The 19976-nt window shown below is 41.5% G+C and overlaps 1 protein-coding gene across 2 annotated transcripts in view, besides 4 other annotated features; it reads right to left on the reverse strand.

Annotated features, from left to right (window-relative positions):
- Positions 1-19976, reverse strand: part of SLC35F2 (solute carrier family 35 member F2) — a 67797-nt gene that overhangs the window by 23030 nt on the left and 24791 nt on the right. For both annotated transcript variants that reach the window (NM_017515.5, XM_047427146.1), the window contains exon 2: positions 1770-1945. In NM_017515.5, coding sequence (NP_059985.2) covers positions 1770-1945 — 176 coding nt within the window. The remainder of the gene's footprint in view (positions 1-1769; positions 1946-19976) is intronic.
- Positions 11447-11946: an enhancer, noted in NCBI's record as "H3K4me1 hESC enhancer chr11:107696193-107696692 (GRCh37/hg19 assembly coordinates)". NCBI's record gives its function as "activates a minimal SCP1, AML or CMV promoter by ChIP-STARR-seq in naive H9 embryonic stem cells {active_cell/tissue: H9 hESC(naive)}" and the evidence as "EXISTENCE:reporter gene assay evidence [ECO:0000049][PMID:30033119]".
- Positions 18197-18742: an enhancer, noted in NCBI's record as "H3K4me1 hESC enhancer chr11:107702943-107703488 (GRCh37/hg19 assembly coordinates)". NCBI's record gives its function as "activates a minimal SCP1, AML or CMV promoter by ChIP-STARR-seq in naive H9 embryonic stem cells {active_cell/tissue: H9 hESC(naive)}" and the evidence as "EXISTENCE:reporter gene assay evidence [ECO:0000049][PMID:30033119]".
- Positions 18743-19288: an enhancer, noted in NCBI's record as "H3K4me1 hESC enhancer chr11:107703489-107704034 (GRCh37/hg19 assembly coordinates)". NCBI's record gives its function as "activates a minimal SCP1, AML or CMV promoter by ChIP-STARR-seq in naive H9 embryonic stem cells {active_cell/tissue: H9 hESC(naive)}" and the evidence as "EXISTENCE:reporter gene assay evidence [ECO:0000049][PMID:30033119]".
- Positions 19289-19834: an enhancer, noted in NCBI's record as "NANOG-H3K4me1 hESC enhancer chr11:107704035-107704580 (GRCh37/hg19 assembly coordinates)". NCBI's record gives its function as "activates a minimal SCP1, AML or CMV promoter by ChIP-STARR-seq in naive and primed H9 embryonic stem cells {active_cell/tissue: H9 hESC(naive and primed)}" and the evidence as "EXISTENCE:reporter gene assay evidence [ECO:0000049][PMID:30033119]".

The following is a 19976-nucleotide window of genomic DNA, read 5'->3' on the forward strand; positions in this document are numbered from 1 at the left end:
TAATTTCCTAAGTGTGCACAGTGCTGTCCTTGTTCACTGGATTCACTAACCTTTGCAAGGCTTTTTCTTCTGCTATGTCAGCCACACGATTCAAAAGCAAGTAGTAAACTTAGAATCAGACCTTCAAACCCCTTTACAACAAAGGGTTAAACTAAAGTTTTAAAAAATAATGAAGCTGGACAGGCACCTATAATCCCCGCACTTTGGGAGGCCGAGGCAGACAGATCACGTAAGGTCAGGAGTTCGAGACCAGTCTGGCCAACATCTCCACTAAAAATATAAAAATTAGCCAGGTGTGGTGGCACGTGCCTGTAATCCCAGCTACTAGGGAGGCTGAGGCAAGAGAATCGCTTGAACCCAGGAGGCAGAGATTGCAGTGAGCCAAGATCACGCCACTGCACTGTACTCCAACCTGGGTGACAGAGCAAGACTCTGCCTCAAAAAAAAAAAAAAGAAGAAGCTGCAGCTACCAGGAGTTTGTGGGGAGGGAGGGAGGAATGAATAGGTGGAGCAGAGGGATTTTTAAGGCAGTGGAGCTGTTCTGTTTGATACTGTAATGGTAAATGTATGCATTGTACATTTGTCAAAACCCATAGAATGCACAATACCAAGAGCGACCCCTAAGGTAAATTATTGACTTTGGTTAATAACAATGTATCTGGCTGGGCCCAGTGGCTCACACCTGTAATCTCAGCACTTTGGGAAGCCAAGGTGGGAGGACTACTTGAGTTCAGGAATTCGAGACCAGCCTGGGCAACGTGGTGAAACCCTGTCTCTACAAAAAATACAAAAATTATCTGGGCACAGTGGCTCACGCCTATAATCCCAGCACTCTGGGAGGGCAAGGCAGGTGAATCACTTGAGGTTAGGAGCAAGGTAAGACCCGGACTCCACTAAAAATACAAAAATTAGCCAGGTGTGGTGGTGTGCACCTGTAGTCCCAGCTACACAGGAGGCTGAGGCACAAGAATCACTTGAACCCAGGAGGCGGAGGTTGCAGTGAGCCAAGATTGTGCCACTGCACTCCAGCCTGGGTGACAGAGTGAGACTCTGTATAAAAAAAAAGAGAGAGAGACCTGAGCTACACGTGCAACTGACGTTCCATTTACCATCTTTATTTAGTTGGAAGTAAATATTTTGGAGAGTAAGGTTCTTGACTTTAAGTGTTTTTAATATCATCTTAATATTTTAAAATATTTTTAAAATTGGGGGGGAAACCTAACTTGTAATGACATTTACACTTTTTAGGTTGGGTCCAGTGGCTCACACCTGAAATCCTAGCACTTTGGGAGGCTGAGGTGGGCAGATCACTTGAGCCCAGGAGTTAGAGACCAGCCAGCGCAACATGGCAAAAACCCATCTCTAAAATAAAAAAAAAAAAAAAAAATTAGCCAGGCATGGTGGCACACTCCTGTAGTCACAGCTTACTAGGGAGGCTGAGGTAATTGGATCACTTGAGCCTGGGAGGTCAAGGCTGCAGTGAGTCGAGATTGCACCACTGCACTCCAGCCTGGGTGACAGAGTGAGACCCTGTCTCAAAAACAAACAACAACAACAACAACAACACACACACAAAAAAAAAAACACTTTTTTTTTGGACAACTTCTGTGTTACAAACAGTATGGTGCTACTTACTTTAATCAACAATTTCAGAGAATTGTGCATAAGTCTCCAGTCACTACTTTCACAGAATTTAGAGGTGTCATACTTTTCTAGTAATTTTTATGAAGATAATTTTGTTGAAAAGATAATTTCCACATTTGACATACCTGATCGAAATGCCAGCATCACTGTATAAATTAGGAACAGCAAGCAATAATTGATAAAGCTCTGAAGCATGGGGGTGTTCACTTTGTATCTTTCTGCCAAATACTGGCTGGTGATGGCTGTCCCACATATACACAAGGACAACATCTGACCCAGGGCAATTGTTTTCAAAATATTCCTAGAAAATAAGGGAAGAAATCAGAACAGCATGCAAATAAGTTATACCTTACACACACACACACACACACACACACACACACACACACTGCTAAACACAAAGGGAAATGCTAATTATTCCAGGTGGTTCTTCATTTCATGAAATAAAAATTAAAATGTTAGTTACTGAAGGACTACATTTTTATTCTCTATTTTTCTGATCCCCTCCATTCCCACAAAAGCATATTCCCCCATTTCACTGAACATCCATTTAGAGATCATTTTGATTACTCAGCTATAACATATACTTTGTAAAGTGCGCACGTGTGTGTGTGTGTGTATGACTTTTTTTTTTTGAGACAGGGTCTTGTTCTATTGCTCAGGCTAGAGTGCAGTGGTGCAATCACAGCTCACTGCAGCCTTGACCTCCCAGACTCAAGCAATCCTCCCACTTCAGCCTCCAAATAACTGGGACTATAGGCACATGCCACCATGCCCAGCTAATTTTTTTTTTTTTTTTTTTTGTGGAGATGGGGTTTCACTATGTTGCTCAGGCTGGTCTCAAACTCCTAGGCTCAAGGGACCCTCCCACCTCAGCCTCCCAAAGTGCTAGGATTTCAAGGGTGAGCCATCGTGACTGGCCCTTACCCTGCATTTCTAACATGGAAACTAATTAAAGAAACAAGTTGACTGAGACAGAAGAGGCTAAAATAATACGTATTTTCTGGATCAGATAATTGGATAGATAGCAATATGGTTAACCAAGATCCTAAATGCAGAAGGAAAAGGCATATTTGGAAAAGATAATAGCTCCATTTTGGACATGCTGGATTTTGTTTAATTATGAGACAGCCAAGAAGAAATGTCCAGTAGGCAGCTTGGAGCTGGAAGAAAGGATTGGATTGGAGAAATAAACTTGAGAATCATGAGCATAAATGTGGTGGCTGAATGTGGGAACATAATGAGATCACTAAGGCGTATAACTAAAAATTGGGAAGAAAAGAGCAAAAAAGAAATACTGTGGGAAACAGCAATATTTAAAGGGCTGGAGAGGCTGGGTGCGGTGGCTCACACCTGTAACCCCAGTACTTTGGGAGGCCGAGGCAGGCAGATCACTTGAGGTTGAGTTCGAGACCAGCCTGGCCAACATGGTGAAACCGCGTCTCTACTAAAACTACAAACATTAGCGGGGTGTGGTGGCAGGCGCCTGTAATCCCAGCTACTCGGGAGGCTGAGGCATGAGAATCACTTGAACACAGGAAGCGGAGGTTGCAGTGAGCCGAGACTGTACCACTGCATTCCAGCCTGGGTGACAGAATGAGACGACAAAAGGAAGAAAGGAAAGAAAGAAAAGAAAAAAAAAGAAAAGAAAAGAGCTGGACGGGAAAGACTCATTAGAGATGGAGATAAGAGGGCATGGCCAGAGAAGTAAAGGGAGAACTAGGAAGGAAGAAACAATCTGGAGGCCTAGAGAAGATGGCGTTTCAAAGAGGAAACTTTTTCTAAGCATTCTTCCTATCCTACTCTCATTCTACCCAAATCCAGTCTCCACACTGCAGCAGGAGTGATGTTCTGAGTGTTAATATGATGAGATCATTTCTCATGTCTAAAACCTTTCGGTGGCTGGTTCCTCTCTGGCCTTAGGTGAAAGCCACACTTTAAAATGGCCTACAGGCAACCCACCCTCTGAATCTCCAGCCTCACCTTGAACTACTCTCACAGCTTATTTCATTTTTAATTTTTACTATTTCTTCTATCTAACACACAACAAAGTATGTATAATGTATAATCAACATGTATCCGTGTATCTATCACCTCAAAAAATAAACAATTTGCCAGGCACGGTGGCTCACGCTTGTAATCCCAGCAACTTTCGGAGGCTGAGGCAGGCGGATCACAAAGTCAGGAGTTCGAGACCAGCCTAACCAACATGGTCAAACCCCATCTCTACTAAAAATACAAAATTAGCCGGGTGTGATGGCATGCACCTGTAGTCCCAGCTACTCAGCAGGCTGAGGCAGGAGAATCGCTTGAACCCGGGAGGCGGAGTTTGCAGTGAGCCGAGATCGTGCCACTGCACTCCAGCCTGAGTGACAGAGCAAGACTCTGTCTCAAAAAAAAAAAAAAAAAAAGAAAGAAAGAAAGAAAGAAAGAAAGAAAGAAAGAAAGAAAGAAAGAAAGAAAGAAAGAAAAAGAAACAATTGTCAGCTGGGCATAGTGGCTCACGCCTGTAATCCCAACACTTTGGGAGGCTGAGGCGGGTGAATTACTTGAGCCCAGGAGTTTGAGACCAGCTCGGCAACATGCCAAAACCCCATCTCTACTAAAAACACAATAATTAGCCAGGCACAGTAGTGCACGCCTGTAATCCCAGCTAGTGGGGAGGCTGAGGCACAAGAATAGCTTGAACCCAAGAGGCAGAGGTTAGAGTGAGCTGAGATCATACCACTACAAAAAAGAAAAAAAGAAAAGAAACATTTGGCAACATCGAGGTATCCCACCTGTGTTCTCTCTAATCTCTTAGCCCTCTTGAGGTAACTAATTAGAACTTAGTATTTATTATTTTCATGCTTTTCTACATATTTTAATATTTATGTAAGTATCCCTAAGCAACAAATAGTATTGTTTCAAAATTTTATACAGGCGGCATCATACTGTATATACTTCTGCAATTGTGGTTTTGATCAACATGGTTTGAGAGGGCCATCCATATTGATACATGAGTTCTTGTTCTTCCTTTTCAGTACTGTATAGTACTCTACCACATGACTACATCATGCTTTATTGATCCATTCCACTGTTGATGAATATTTTGGTTGTATTCCTTTTTCTTTTTTGTTTTCATATGTCTCTTGATGTAATTTTCTAAGAGTTTTTTCTAGTTTTTAGCCAGGTGGTAGAAATGGATTACAGATGGTGAGGCGTGGTGGCTCACGCCTGTAATTCCAGCACTTTGGGAAGCTGAGGAAGGAGGATTGCTTGAGCCCAAGAGTTCAAAACCACCCTGGGCAACAAAGAGAGACCCTGTCTCTATTTTAAAAAAGTGGGGGGGTGGTTATAGATATGCTGAGATTTAATCTCCTCAGTACTCAGGATGACCTGATGGGAGCCATCTAAGGCATCTGGAGAGATTCCAGCCAGTTGCATTCTGCTGGGAGCAGGAAACTCAGAGTGTCCTACAAATATAATGACTTTCTATTTCTATAGTAAAGTTTAAAGGAATCACTTGCTCTGGAGATATATCCAAGAACAGAATTGGACGAGATGGTGTTTGTTCTTAGGGCATGAGCATCTTCAGTTTCGTTTTCCTAGATTGCTCTCCAAAGGGTTATATTACTTCATGTAGCTGAGTCTGGTACTCTCAAAAGTAAGGAATCTCCACTCTCCAAAGGGAAGGTGATGATGTCAAGAACTGGCCAAATCCAAGGACACTGTGTTAGGTTACTGGAGGAAATTTTCACCAAGATGAGCAAAACGTTAAGGATTTCCTCCCCTACAGGTAGCATTCTTTCTAAGCATGCTCTACCAGGCACCAGCTGATGAGCTAAACCAGATCCAGAGTTGCTATCTCCTTCTCTTGTGCACACTTCCTCTTGAAGGAGTCATGGTTTGCATTGATTCGGGTCTGAGGCTGCCCTATCCTAGACAAAGGAAATTCACCACTTAGTCCGGTATAGTGCACCAGGAGTCTCCAGGAATGTGGGGCCAAAGCCAAAGGCTGAAAAAGTTCATTCATTTTGTGTCATTATTCCCAGCCATATGCTTCTCTCAGGAACCATGTGGGGAGAGGTACCTGGCTGAGGAAATGGTTCCGATTTCCCTATATTTCATTGTTCAATTAATACCTATCACAGCTCACAATCTCAATAACATGATCCTGACAACAGCCCTGAGAAAAGTACTATTGCACTCATGTTACAGATGGAGAAGATGACTCAGAGTGGGTCCAGAATTCACCCATTGTCATACTGTCCGTAAAAGGCAGAAGAGATCAGTGCTCCTATTAAAAGACCAGATCACAGGATTCAAATTTGCTTAAAGGTGGCTCACACCTGTAATCCCAGCAATTTAAGAGGCCAAGGCGGATGGATTACCCGAGGTCAGGAGTTTGAGACCAGCTTGGTCAACATGGTGAAACCCAGTCTCTACTAAAAATACAAAATTTAGCTGGGTGTGGTGGTACACGCCTGTAATCCCAGCTTCTCGGAGGCTGAGGGAGGAAAATCGCTTGAACCTGAGAGGCAGAGGTTCCAGTGAGCCGAGATCATACCACTGCACTCCAGCCTGGGCAAAAGAGTGAGAGTTTGCCCAAAAAATAAAAAAAAAAAAATTGGGAGAGAGAGAAAAGAAAGGGAGGGAGGGGAAGGAAGGAAGGAGGGAGGGAGAGAGGGCTCTAAGGAAACTTCCTCTCTTCCCTGGAAGTCTCAGAATTGCAGAACCTTGGCACTAACCCACTTTAATCAAGGAGACTGGGGCCCAGAAGAGAGTAGTGTTTTGCCTAAGATCACACAGGAGCAGTGTTAATGCCCAAATTTCCTGGCCATTAAACATCTGCTATCCCTCCTACAGCACACAGTCTTGGGATAACAGGTGGGTCATCCCTCACAGTTGGTATCTTCCTACGTTCTATATCTCTTTCTCCTTCCTGTCCTTCCCCTCATCCCTCTCTTCCCCTCCTGTATCTCTCCATTATGATTTTATAACAGAGTTTATATTAGAAAACCCCTTCAGGCTGGGCGCAGTGGCTCACGCCTGTAATCCCACCACTTTGCAAGGCTGAGGCGGGCGGATCACTTGAGGTCAGGAGTTCAAGACCAACCTGGCTGACATAGTGAAATCCCGTCTCTACTAAAAATACAAAAATTAGCTGGGCATAGTGGCAGGCGCCTGTAATCCCAGCTACTTGGGAGGCTGAGACAGGAGAATTGCTTGAACCTGGGAGGCAGAGGTTTCAGTGAGCTGAGATGGCGCTACTGCACTCCAGCCTGGGCAACAGAGCAAGACTCTGTCTCAAAACAAAACAAAACACCCTTCTTCAAAGCATCCCTGTACCTCGCCTTGCTGTCAGGAAAGAAGGAACCTGGCCTGATCTCTCTCCTCCCAGTAGTCACACTGCTTCCCTGTACATCATGGGGGAGTTGGATGTCCAAAGTACCAGGCACAGAAACCCTAACCAAGTGGCTGATAACCTAATCAAATTGAGAGCATTTTTCACATCTCATAATGGACTTGAAAGCAATTATAAATCTGAAATAAGTGAGAATAAAAAGTGTGGAAGCATTAAGCCCTCTTCACAAATTGACAGAATTCCTACAGTAAGCTCATATCTGCATTCTAAAATAGCACAATTAAGCAAGCTGTCCTCCAACTATAAAGTAAAACTATCTTCTAAAAAAAGGAGAGTCACAAATTGAGTATGGAGATTTAAAGTTACAGGAATGCACTTCTCTTGGCTCCAAATCATAATGACCTCATCTATAATAGAGGAGTAGGAGAGCAAGAGTGAGAGAGAAAAGCTGGCGGGGAGGGGGTAGGAAATTGAGCAAAGGAAGAAAGAAGACAAGAACACTCAAACTTATAGACACTGAAGGCCTCAAAACAATTTTTGTTACTTATAGCTCCACTTTCATGTTTGTATAAATTTGTACAAGGTCCTGGTTCATGTGAATTCTGAACAGAGGAACCCTCTATACCATAACAAAACCTGTTCCTGTTTAAGCAAAGCTGCCAGAAGAAACATGCATCTGACCTTGGGATATATCCTGTCCCGGTTTTACTAACGGAACCTCCACTAAAATGAACTTCAATGGCAGGATATGATCCAACTCCAAGACAAATTTCCCCAAGGCAGCTTCACACTGGGGGCCAGGCTACCAGAATACACAGCAAACAAGAGTTATGGATCACTGAGGGCAGGAGTGGACAAACAGGTAGAAGATGGGCTGAGTAAGGTCACTTCCAACCACATTACTATTAGAATCTATTTTATAACTTTAAGAATTTAAGGCATGAGGCCAGGCACAGTGGCTTATGCCTGTAATCCCAGCACTTTGGGAGGCCAAGGCAGGCGGATCACTTGAGGTCAGGAGTTCAAGACCAGCCTGGCCAACATGGTGAAACCCCATATATTTTGGAAAAATACAAAAAAAATTAACTGGGTGTGGTGGCACATGCCTGTAATTCCAGCTACTCGAGAGGCTGAAGCGGGAGAATCACTTGAACCCAGGAGGCAGAGGCTGCAGATCACACCACTGCACTCCAGCGTGGGCAACAAAGCGAGACTCCGTCTCAAAAAAAAAATTTAAGGAATGAAAGAAGAAAAGATCATGTGGCACTTTACTTCACTCCTTCTTTCTTCTAGGAAACTTAAAATGTATATCGTAACCTCCCTTCCATTCCAAAATAGATACTTATGTACCTGATTTCCAATGAAAATATATTTTTATTTACATCTTCAGTCAGTAAGCTCCTCAGTCATATATTCACCAAAGTTCAATGGTTGTTAATATGTGCCAAGCACAAGGAATTTAGAATTAAGACTCACCTATTTTCTAGTCCCAGACCCTCTTTCTTCTCCCCAGAACACATCGGGGAGCTCCACTGTGTGCCCCCACAAAATACCACAACCCTCCATCACAGTACCCACCACACACTGTTCTTTCCCCAAAACTCTAAGCTCCAGGAGGAAAGGGACATTATATTCTCCATGATTAATAGTGCCTGGCAAATAGGGTATTTGCTATTGTTGAACAACCTCAGAAGTTTTCTGTGTGAGGAGTCAGACAGACCTCACAACACAAAACCACAATAAAATGAGAAAGGGTTAAAATAAGAGTTGTGCATGCAGCCAAGGAGAAGGAAAGCTCAAGATGTCCTGGAGAAGGTTCACAGAGGAGTCAAAACAATCACACACCTGAAAGGTATTTTAGGAAGATTGAGGAATGCAGGAAAGGCCATAATACAAGTTTGTGCCTAATTTAAACACTAGTTTTACATTATATATATATATGAGACACAATGATGGGATGCATTCATATACACATATATATAATATATATATGAGACACAATGATGAGATGCATTCATTTCTTTAGCTCTTCTTTATTTACTATTTCAAATTAGATAGGCAGTCCTCTACTGATTATATATTTAAAAATCACTGGGCTTTAAAAATAACACTGACAACAAGACCCCAGCCCAAACCAGTTGGATCAGATTCTCAGAGGGTAGATTCCAAGTATCAGCCTATTTTAAGTCTCCCAGATGAGTCTAAGACATGATCAGGACGGCAAACCACTAAATTATTCTTTTCTTTTTATTTGAAAAAAAGGAGTTCCAAGTGACCGATAAGATGCATTATTTGAATGCAAATTATGCATTCCCTTCACTTTATGTCTCAATAAATCTGTGCTGCTAGGTTGCATGTTGTCAGCTAAAGGCAGGATTTCATATTAGTGCTAAGACTCCTATGGAACATAGTTACTTGGGGGAGATTTTAAAATCCATTACATCTGCCACCTGTAAATACCTGGTAAAGAATAATAACTTCCAGTACGTCTATAAAAATCCTATTATGAACCCAAAAAGAAATATACATTTAGGCCAAGTTCTCGCACTCTGCACATAAGCTACCCAGTTTCTATTTCTAAAGCATTTTAAATTATATCGGAAGCATGTTTAGAAATAAATTATAAGTAGTTTTTGGTCAGGCACTGTGACTCACACCTGTAATTCCAGCACTTTGGGAAGCAGAGGTGGGCAGATCACTTGAGGCCAGGAGTTTGACACCAGCCTGGCCAACATGGCAAAACCCCATATCTACTAAAAGTACAAAAATTAGTAAGGTGTGGTGGCGTGCACCTATAGTCCCAGCTACTCAGGAGGCTGAGGCAAGAGAATCACTTGAACCCAGGAAGCGGAGTTTGCAGTGAGCCAAGATCATGCCACTTCATTCTAGCCTGGGCGACATAACAAGACAGTCTCAAAAAAAAAAAAAAAAAGAAAAAAGAAAAGAAATAAATTATAAGTAGCTTTTCTTTACATAGTGAGTAGCAGCCAAGATGAACTGTTTTCTTTCCATCTCCATAGTCCTACGATTCAAAAGTTTAGCCATCAATGTATCATCTAATTCTAGTAAGCATGAGTAGCTTGCAATTGTGAAGAACCTACATTCTGTTAGTCATATTCAAAACTCAAAGTAGCTAAAAAAGTCAAATTTTAAAAAATAGATAGTGTATTGGTGTATATGATCACCTCACAAAGAAGGCAAGTAAAAGAAAGGAAATCAGTGTTTTCTTTTTGCTCACTGGATGATGTCTTACTCGGAATAGGTGCTCAGTAAATGTTTATTAACAAAAAATGCACTATTATGAAGATGGCATCATGTTAAAATGCAAGGCAGACAATACTGTAGACAAGAGGCCCTCAAAAGTGAACTCAATGAATGTTACAGTGGAAAAAATACAAACTCCAGAGTTAGATAAAACTGGGTTCTGGATTTAAATTTGAAACATGAAAGAGAGGAGAAACAGGTACAGGCAAGTGAAAACAGTGGTTCACACCATGTGCTGTTCTGGAAAAGGCTAGTAGAGAGTGCAATTTGGATGTGACCTTCAAGAAAAGATTATTCCTTCTGAACATAGCAGAAAGAATCCTAGTCTTTGAATCCAAAGATCTAACTCTACTCTTTATTAGTGTTAGGTAGTTCTCTTATGTCTTTTTTAAGTGAGTGTAATACCACCTTTATGCGCCTAAGGGTTAATTGATGTAACCTATAAAAGTACCTAGCACATCCACCCACCTGAGGCACTGAGTGCATTTTATTTCCTTCCTTCCTCTGGCTCGCCCTGTCTTTTGGTAACCTCTTGACCATACCTGTCTATTCTATATATGCACCATCCAATAGAGTAGCCTCTACCCATATGCAGCCATTGAGTGTTTGAAACATGGCTCTATATATGCACCATCCAATAGAGTAGCCTCTACCTATATGCAGCCATTGAGTGTTTGAAACATGGCTAATGTGAATGAGGAATTGAATGTTTAATGTAATTTCGTTTCAACTTAAATAAAATAGCCATATATGGAGAATGGCTACCAAATTAGACAGTGAAGCCAGGGATCAGCATTGTGCAATACTGTAGATGTTACCACAACGATGGAAATGTTTGAAAAGTAGTTCTTGAGCACTTCAAATGTGGCTAGTATAAATGAGGAACTGAATTTTTTGTTTTATTCTATTTTAATTCATTTTCATTTAAATAACCACATGTGGCTGGGGGTTATAGTATTGAATAACACAGCCCTAGCCTGGTGCTTCTCAAACTTTCATGTGATATGAATCATCTAAGGCTCTTGTTAAAGTGCAGCTTCTGATTCAGTAGGTTTGGAGAGAGGCCTGAGATTCCGCATTTCTTTCTTTTTTTTTTTTTTTTTCTTTTTTTTTTGAGATGGAGTCTCGATCTGTTGCCCAGGCTGGAGTCCAGTGGCACGATCGCGGCTCACCGCAACCTCCACCTCCTGGGTTCAAGTGATTCTCCTGCCTCAGCCTCTCCAGTAGCTGGGATTACAGGCGCCTGCCACCACACACAGCTTATTTTTGTAGTTTTAGTAGAGACGGGTTTCACCATGTTGGTCAGGCTGGTCTCAAACTCCTGACCTCGTGATCCGCCCACCTCGGCCCCCCAAAGTTGTTGGGATTACAGTCGTGAGCCACCGCGCCCGACCTGAGATTCCGCATTCCTAAGAAGCTCTCAGGAGATACTTATGCTGCTGGTCCACGGACCAGACTTTGAGTGAGCAAGGGTCTACAGCAATGCTTCTGATTCTGAGGTCTCTCAACTTTTAGGAATCCGTGGAAGAAGTGAATGCAATCCATGGGCTGTTCAGGATCTGTTTTTGACACTTCAAAAACTTAACAGTACTTCTGACTGTTGCTGGTAAAAGCGTAAAATAATAAATCTCTATTTCAGCGGGAGAGTTTGGGGGTGCTGATTTGACAATTTCTAGCAATTTTGTCTCAAGGAATCTACCCCAAGGCAACTCTGGCAAAAATACAAAAAGGTGTATTTACAAAGCTATTCATTACAGCACTATTTATACTAGCAAAAGACTAAAGGAAAAAAACAAAATGTCTAACAATGGGAGACTAGCTGAATAAACACACAGGAGTACTACTGTACAGCTATAAAAAGCAAGGCACATATTTATATGTACTGTTATAAAGTGACTGCCAGGTATACCTTTTTTAAAAAGGAAGCAAATGTGGAGAAAAATGGGTATGGAATGCAAATATTTATCTATAATTTGTTAATTTTTTAAAAGGAAAGATAAAACTTTTTTTTTTTTTTTGAGATGCAGTTTTGCTCTTGTTGTCCATGCTGGAGTGCAATAGCTCGATCTGGGCTCACCACAACCTCCGCTTCCCAAGTAGCTGGGATTACAGGCATGTGCCACCACGTCCAACCAATTTTGTATTTTTAGTAGAGATAGGGTTTCTCCATGTTGGTCAGGCTGGTCTCGAACTCCTGACCTCAGGTGATCCATTCTCCTTGGCCTCCCAAAGTGCTGGGATTACAGACATCAGCCACTGCATCCAGCCAAAACAAAACTTTTTAAAAGTTGTGTATAGGGAGGACAGCAGAGGGAGCAAAGTAAAAGGTGTATGTCTGACTATACCTTGTTTTATAGATTTGCCTTTGAGGCCATGTAAGTATGTTACATAACTTATAATTATGTAAAACAAAAATTAAATTTAAAAAAGCCACATCTAAAATAAAATTTAAAATAAACTTGATGTTTTAAAAATTGGTAGCAAAACCTGACAGGAATTATTTCAAGGGACTTTAAAATATACTAATTTGATAGTACACTCCTAATAAAATATACCATAGGATCAAAAAGAACTGTACAATAGCTTAAACTGTTTTGATATGGTGTTGATATTATTCTGGGAGTATTTACAAATACTGTGGAATACAGAAAATAAGAAAATTATATTGATGGAAGCCCCTTTAACCTCTTCTGGTTTTCAGTGCTATGTCCCCCTACAATATGAATATTGTATATACATATTGATATATGAATATCGTATATACATACATATACAATATGAATATTGATGTATTCATTGGGATATATAGAAAAAAGATGAAGATGTAAGATTGAAGAGGTTGAGTTAAAAACCTTATAGTTTTGAACTTTACTGAAAGGTACAATTGACTCATGAGTACTTCGTAGTATGTCATGAGTATTTCATAACATATACATATATATATCCTATCTCTTTCCCCTAAAAAGCTCTGAAACAATGACTAATCCATTAATTATGAACACCCCTAGTGCCTAGATAATGGCAACTAAATACTACCTCCCACTAAAAAGAACTAGGAGCTGGGCGTGGTGGCTCACACCTGTAATACCAGCACTTTGCGAGGCCAAGGTGGGTGGATCACTTGAGGTCAGGTGTTCAAGACTAGCCTGGCCAAAAGGGTGAAACCCCATCTCTACTAAAAATACAAAAATGGCTGGATGTGGTGGCTCACGCCTGTAATCCCAGCACTTCAGGAGGCCGGGGCGGGAGGATCACCTGAGCTCAGGAGTTCGAGACCAGCCTGGCCACCATGGCGAAACCCCATCTCTACTAAAAATACAAAAATCAGCCGGGCATGGTGGCATGCACCTGTAATCCCAGCTACTCGGAAGGCTGAGGCAAGAGAATCACTAGAACCCAGGAGGCAGTGGTTGCAGTGAGCCGAGATCGCAACACTGCACTCCAGCCTGGGCGACAGAGCAAGACTCTGTCTCAAAAAAAAAAAAAAATTAGCTGGGCGTGGTGGAGCACCCATAATCCCAACTATCCAGGAAGCTGAGGGAGGAGAATCACTTGAACCCAGGAAGCACAGGTTGCAGTGAGCCGAGATTGCATCATTGCACTCCAGCCTGGGCGATAGAGTAATACTCTGTCTCAAAATAAATAAATTAATTAATTAAGTAAACAAAAATAAAAAGAACTAGAGCTTTTTGGAGAACGGCTGATTTCAGACCTGGGGCAGGAAATTTACAAAATAAGCCTGAAACATCTTGTCACACCAAATAGCAAGAAAACTAAGGATTGAATCTATGACAAAAATAAATTCTTAGCACTGGGAAGAATAACTGCAATGGACTGAAACACCTCAAATGTTTAAATCCATGAGTTAATAGCAATACTGGCTGGGCACAGTGGCTCAGGCCTGTAATCCCAGCACTCTGGGAGGCTGAGGCAGGTGGATCACGAGGTCAGAAGTTCAAGACCAGCCTGGCCAACATGGTGAAACCACGTCTCTATTAAAAATACAAAAATTAGCTGTGCCAGTGGCGGGAGCCTGTAATCCCAGCTACTCAGGAGGCTGAGGCAGGAGAATCGCTTGAAACCGGAAGGCGGAGGTTGCAGTGAACTGAGATCGCACCACTGCACTCCAGCCTACCTTAAAGACCGAAACTCCATCTCAAAAAAAAAAAAAAAAAATAGCAATACTAAAAATTTTTTTTAACTTGCTGGTCTTCTTTGGAGGGTGCTAGGGAATGAACTTACTATTTTGAAGACTAGTGAATAAAAGAAATGAATTAATGTTTATCCTGCCCTTCTTATACAAATTATACCTCAGGGTAATCAAAGAGTTGATGAAAAGGAGTTTGTCCTTGTGGAAATAGTCTGTATAATGAATTAAGATGGGATGACAAATAAAATATCACTTTAGGAGCCCTAATAAAATAATGGATCTAGACAAAACATCAATAGCTCCTAACAACAAAAAAGAAAGAGACAAGAAAAAATTATATGTCTCCTGCTATGATTTGAATATCTGCCCTTTCTAAAACTCATGCTGAAACTTAATCCCGGCCGGGCGCAGTGACTCATGCCTGTAATCCCAGCACTTTGGGAGGCCGAGGTGGGCAGATCACTTGAGGCCAGAAGTTCGAGACCAGCCTGGCCAACATGGTGAAACCCTGTCTCTACTAAAAATACAAAAAATTAGCCAGGAGTGGTGGTGCACGCCTGTAGTCCCAGCCACTCAGGAGGCTGAGGCAGGAGAATTGCTTGAACCTGGCAGGAGGAGGCTGCAGTGAGCCAAGATCACGCCACTGCACTCCAGCCTGGGCGACAGAGTGAGACTGTCTTGGAGCAGGAGGTCAGTAGGAAAAAAAAAAAAGAAAAAAAAAAAAAGCTCACACCTGTAATCTCAGCACTTTGGAAGGCTGAGGTGGGCCAATCACCTGAGGTCAGGAGTTCGAGACCAGCCTGGTCAACATGGTGAAACCCCATCTCTACTAAAAGTACAAAAATTAGCCAGGCATGGTGGCAGGTGCCTGTGATCCCAGCTACTTGGGAGGCTGAAGCAGGAGAATCATTTGAACACAGGAGGCAGAGGCTGCAGTGAACAGAGATCGTGCCACCGCACTACAGTCTGGGTGACAGAGTGAGACTACATCTCAAAAAAAAAAAAAACTTGTTTGACTCCCAGTGCACCCTTCTCGCCCTGTGATGCCTTCCACCATGCTATGACACAGTATGAGGCCCTCACCAGAAGCCAAACAGATGCAGCTGCTCAATCTTTGGACTTCCCAGCCTTTAGAGCTATATGAAATAAACTTCTTTTCTGTATAAATTACCAGTCTTGCATATTTTTATAGCAACAAAAAACAAATTAAGACACCTCTTGATGGTAGTACATAATACCTATGAAATCTCACAAAAAAAAAAAAAAAAAGACTACAGAGTTTTTAACCTGGGGCACATGGACCAGGTCCATGAAAATATTCTAGGGTCTATGAACTTCAGTAGAAAAAAATATATATATCCTCATTTTCAGTAACATTGAACTAAAATTTAACAATCCCTTCAATTATAAACATAGGCAACAAACTATAGTGGTGCTAGCAAGACCTAAGACTTTGCTGCCAAAAGAATTCACAGATATTTTCACTTCGTATGGCTACTATAGCTAAAATTTCAAATAAAATTTATATTCATCACTACTCCAAAATCATGGTAAACCAGGCATGCTGGCTCACACTTGTAATCCTAGCACGTTGGGAAGGCCAAGGCGGGAGGATCACCTAAGGCCACAAGTTGGAGACCAGCCTGGGCAAAATAGCAAGACCTCATCTCTATAAAAGTTAAAAAAAAAAAATTGTAATTAAAAACTCATTGTGATATTTTGTTACTTAGTAAATTTTAAAGAAAAGAAGCCTCTATATTAACATATATCCCAATTTGCTTTTTAATAATTTGACAACTAAATCTTTGCAATTGGTTTCCATTATAATTTTTAATATTTATGCATTTAAAAACATTATCCTAAGAAGAAAATACTGTTGGCTGGGCACAGTGGCTCACGCCTGTAATCTCAGCACTGTGGGAGGCCGAGGCGGGCAGATCACGAGGTCAAGAGATCGAGAACATCCTGGCCAACATGGTGAAACCCCATCTCTACTAAAAACACAAAAATTAGCTGGGCATGGTGGTGGATGCCTGTAGTCCCAGCTACTCAGGAGGCTGAGGCAGGAGAATGGCGTGAACCTGGGAGGCGGAGCTTGCAGTGAGCCGAGATCACGCCACTGCACTCCAACCTGGGAGACAGAGCAAGACTCAGTCTCAAAAAAAAAAAAAAAAGAAAAGAAAAAAAAAGAGAACAGCCTCTACTTTTATTTGAATGTTCCCATAAAATTTTTTTTAAGCCAACAGAAACCCTACATGTACCCATGCCAAGGCTGTTCAGACAAGCCAAAACATCACATGTATTTGCCTTCAGCTCTAATTATATCAACCAAGTGTGGTAACAATCATTTTCTCTTGCTAATCAGAAGTTCAGGTGTCTGATTAGTTAAAAGAGAGAGAGAAAAAAATAAACTCATTATTACTTAACAAATGAGTATTGGGGAAAGGGTGTCAAAATCTTTCAAAACATAAGATTCCTGGCAAAAAATAATAATAAAAGGGGTTCATAATGGAAGAAAAACCTGAAGATTGCTGATCTAATATAAAATGTCTCACACTGTATTCTACTTACTATGTATATGGCTACCCAGGTAGGTCACAAGCTCCTAAAAGACAGAAACAGTGTCATATTCCTCTTTGTTTATCCAGGATATGAATCAATACGGGCTGGCACAATTGCTGCAAAGGTAAAAAATGCCACCGGAGAAAGCTGACCTTTCTGAAACCTCTGTTAGTTCAACTGGAACAAGTAGGAACAAATGGATTACAAGAAGAAATCAATCTACAGTTTAACTTGGAAATGTGTCAACCCAAATGTGATTATCAGGAAGCATTCAACTTAAAAATAAAAGTGTAAAATAAGTTGCAAAACTCATTGGAATGGGACAGGGTGATAGTATTTGCTCCCATCTCAGCCTACCACATAGCTGGGACTACAGGCACATGCCACTACACCCAGCTAATTTTTAAAATTTTGGTAGAGACAAGGCCTCACTCACTATGTTGCCCAGGCTGGTCTCAAACTCCCGGCCTCAGGCGATCCTCATGCCTAGACCTCCCAAAGCACTGGGATTATAGACGTGCACCACCACACCCAACCAACAAGACAATCTTATCTGGTTGCAAGGCAGATACAAAATTATCTTCGTGAAGTGGGGGGACATGTAATTTCTTTGCCCTTGTTCTAGATACACCAAGCAACATTAATCCTATATTTCCCAGGTAGGTTTTTCTTTTGAGATGGTTGTCTTGTGACCATCTGTCAAAGTTAGCAGTGACAATTCTCATTAAAAACTACCACCTTTCTTTTCAAGTGTAAGTGTAAGTTTGAACAGCAAGAGCTACTTTCTCCAGAGACTGGTCACTACCAAATGAACTGATCATGATGTTCCAGACAAAGAGAACTGGAAAATTCTGGCAAAGAACAGGAATCAAGAGGTTCAGGTGTCAGCCTTCTTATCTACTACTCTAGAAATATGTTCATAAGGTTTTGCCAAAACCACAGTCTCACTATTTAATGAAGCAATAAAGCAAGCTTTTCCAAAAATTACCCTATACATTATAACACCAGTTATAGTTTCTTATGGAGCGGGACATTTCTGAAATTGGCAAAATATTTTTTTTTTCTGCTGATCTTCACCAAATGTTATACTGCATTTCTTAGACTAAAGGATGGGGTGGGTGAGCTAATTTTGCAGTATTCTATAACAATACAACAGAAGTTTGGAGCAGAGCAAGTTTAGTATGGGTCTAGATCCAGCAAGTAACCCACTAGGTTATATCCAGTCACTTTAGTTGTAACTCAGGATATTTCCAATCAAGACAGCTTCTACCTCTGAGCATTCCCAATGTTGTTAGTTCCCGGAACTGGTTTATTCTATTCTGAATCTACGAGAACAAGAAAAGGCCTGGAGCCAAAAGATAGTAGTGGGAGGGTTTAGAAGTCAATGACTTGATGAATTGATTGATGGATCAAATTGCCTGATTGACTAAACCTTAAAAGAACCAGATAATTTGGGTGGGATTGTGGAAATTTTTTGTTATTTTCTTTTTATTCTGTACATACTAGTTTTCAAACAATGAGAAATCTATTTACAGCCAAGTGTGGTGGCTCATGCCTGTAATCCCAGCACTTTGAGAGGCCAAGGTGGGCAGACTGCTGAAGCCCAAGAGTGCAAGACAAGCCTGGGCAACATGATCAAATGCCTTCTCTACAGAAAAAAATGCAAAAATTAGCCGGGTATGATGGCATGCACCTATAGTCCCAGCTATTTAGGAGGCTGAGATGAAAGGATCACCTGACCCCAGGGAGTTCAAGGCTGCAGTGAGCCATGATCATGCCACTGCACTCCAGCCTGGGTGACAGAGTGAGACCCTGTCTCAAAAACAAACAAACAAAATCTACATTCTGTCAGGAAAGTACAGGGACTAGAAGAAAATATAACATTGGAAGGCTTCCCCTCAACTCCTCATGTTTAATCCTTGTGGCTAATTTGGATTTGCAGCTCACATTCCATCTTTTGTTTCTCTCCCAACCTCTTCTGGTCTGTGATCCTCTGTTGACAATTTGAGATTTCCAAACTGCTGACTTAAAGCTCCCTGGACTTGCCAGTGGGGCATCCATCATCATCAAGTATTATTTATTTACTTATTACATTCATGCTAATGGACGCCATCAGAATACCTTGTCTATGTTTTTTATAGTGTCTCACAGTTTACAAAAACTCTTCTATACCCTATCTTATTTTATTTTTGATCCATTTGCCAATGCTGTGTGGTTGCAGATGAAGAAACTGAAGCTAAGAGAGTTGAAATGGCTGGATGCGGTGTCTCACGACTGTAATCCCAGCACTTTGGGAGGCTGAGGTGGGCAGATCACGAGCTCAAGAGATCAAGACCATCCTGGCCAACATGGTGAAGCCCTGTCTCTACTAAAAATACAAAATTAGCCAGGCGTGGTCGCACATGCCTGTAATCCCAGCTACTTGGGAGGCTGAGGCAGGAGAATAGCTTGAACCTGGGAGGCAGAGGTTGCCGTGAACCAAGATCACACCACTGCATTCCAGCCTGGGCATCAGAGTGAGACTCTGTCTCAAAAAAAAAAAAAAAAAAAGGAGAGAGGTGAAATGGGTTGCCTAACTGATGCTGTTCAAAAGTATCAGAATCAGGAGCAAAATACAAACCTACTGGCACTAAGTAGAGTGCTTTTGCTAACCATGTTCCCTCCTACATGACTCTTGTTAAAATTGTTACACCCAGGCGAGTTAGAGAAAACGCCACACTCTGAGACGAATTAAGAGTCTTTTATTTAAGCCAGCAGCCAAAGAGATGGCTAACGCTCAAAATTCTCTCGGCCCCAAGGAAGGGGCTTGATTAACTTTTATACCTTGGTTTAGGAAGGGGAGGGGAAGTTAAATGCAATAATTCTACAGAAGTAAAAACATGCAAGAATCAAAGAAACAAATGGTTACAGAGAGATAAACAATTTAAAAAGACAAATGGTTACAAAAAAGCAACGGAACCAGGTGTGGGGCTCTAAATCTTTCATTAGAGTTAGATATAGATGCTATGC

This window comes from Homo sapiens, chromosome 11, assembly GCF_000001405.40.
Source record: "Homo sapiens chromosome 11, GRCh38.p14 Primary Assembly".
In the NCBI taxonomy this organism is placed as follows: domain Eukaryota; kingdom Metazoa; phylum Chordata; class Mammalia; order Primates; family Hominidae; genus Homo; species Homo sapiens.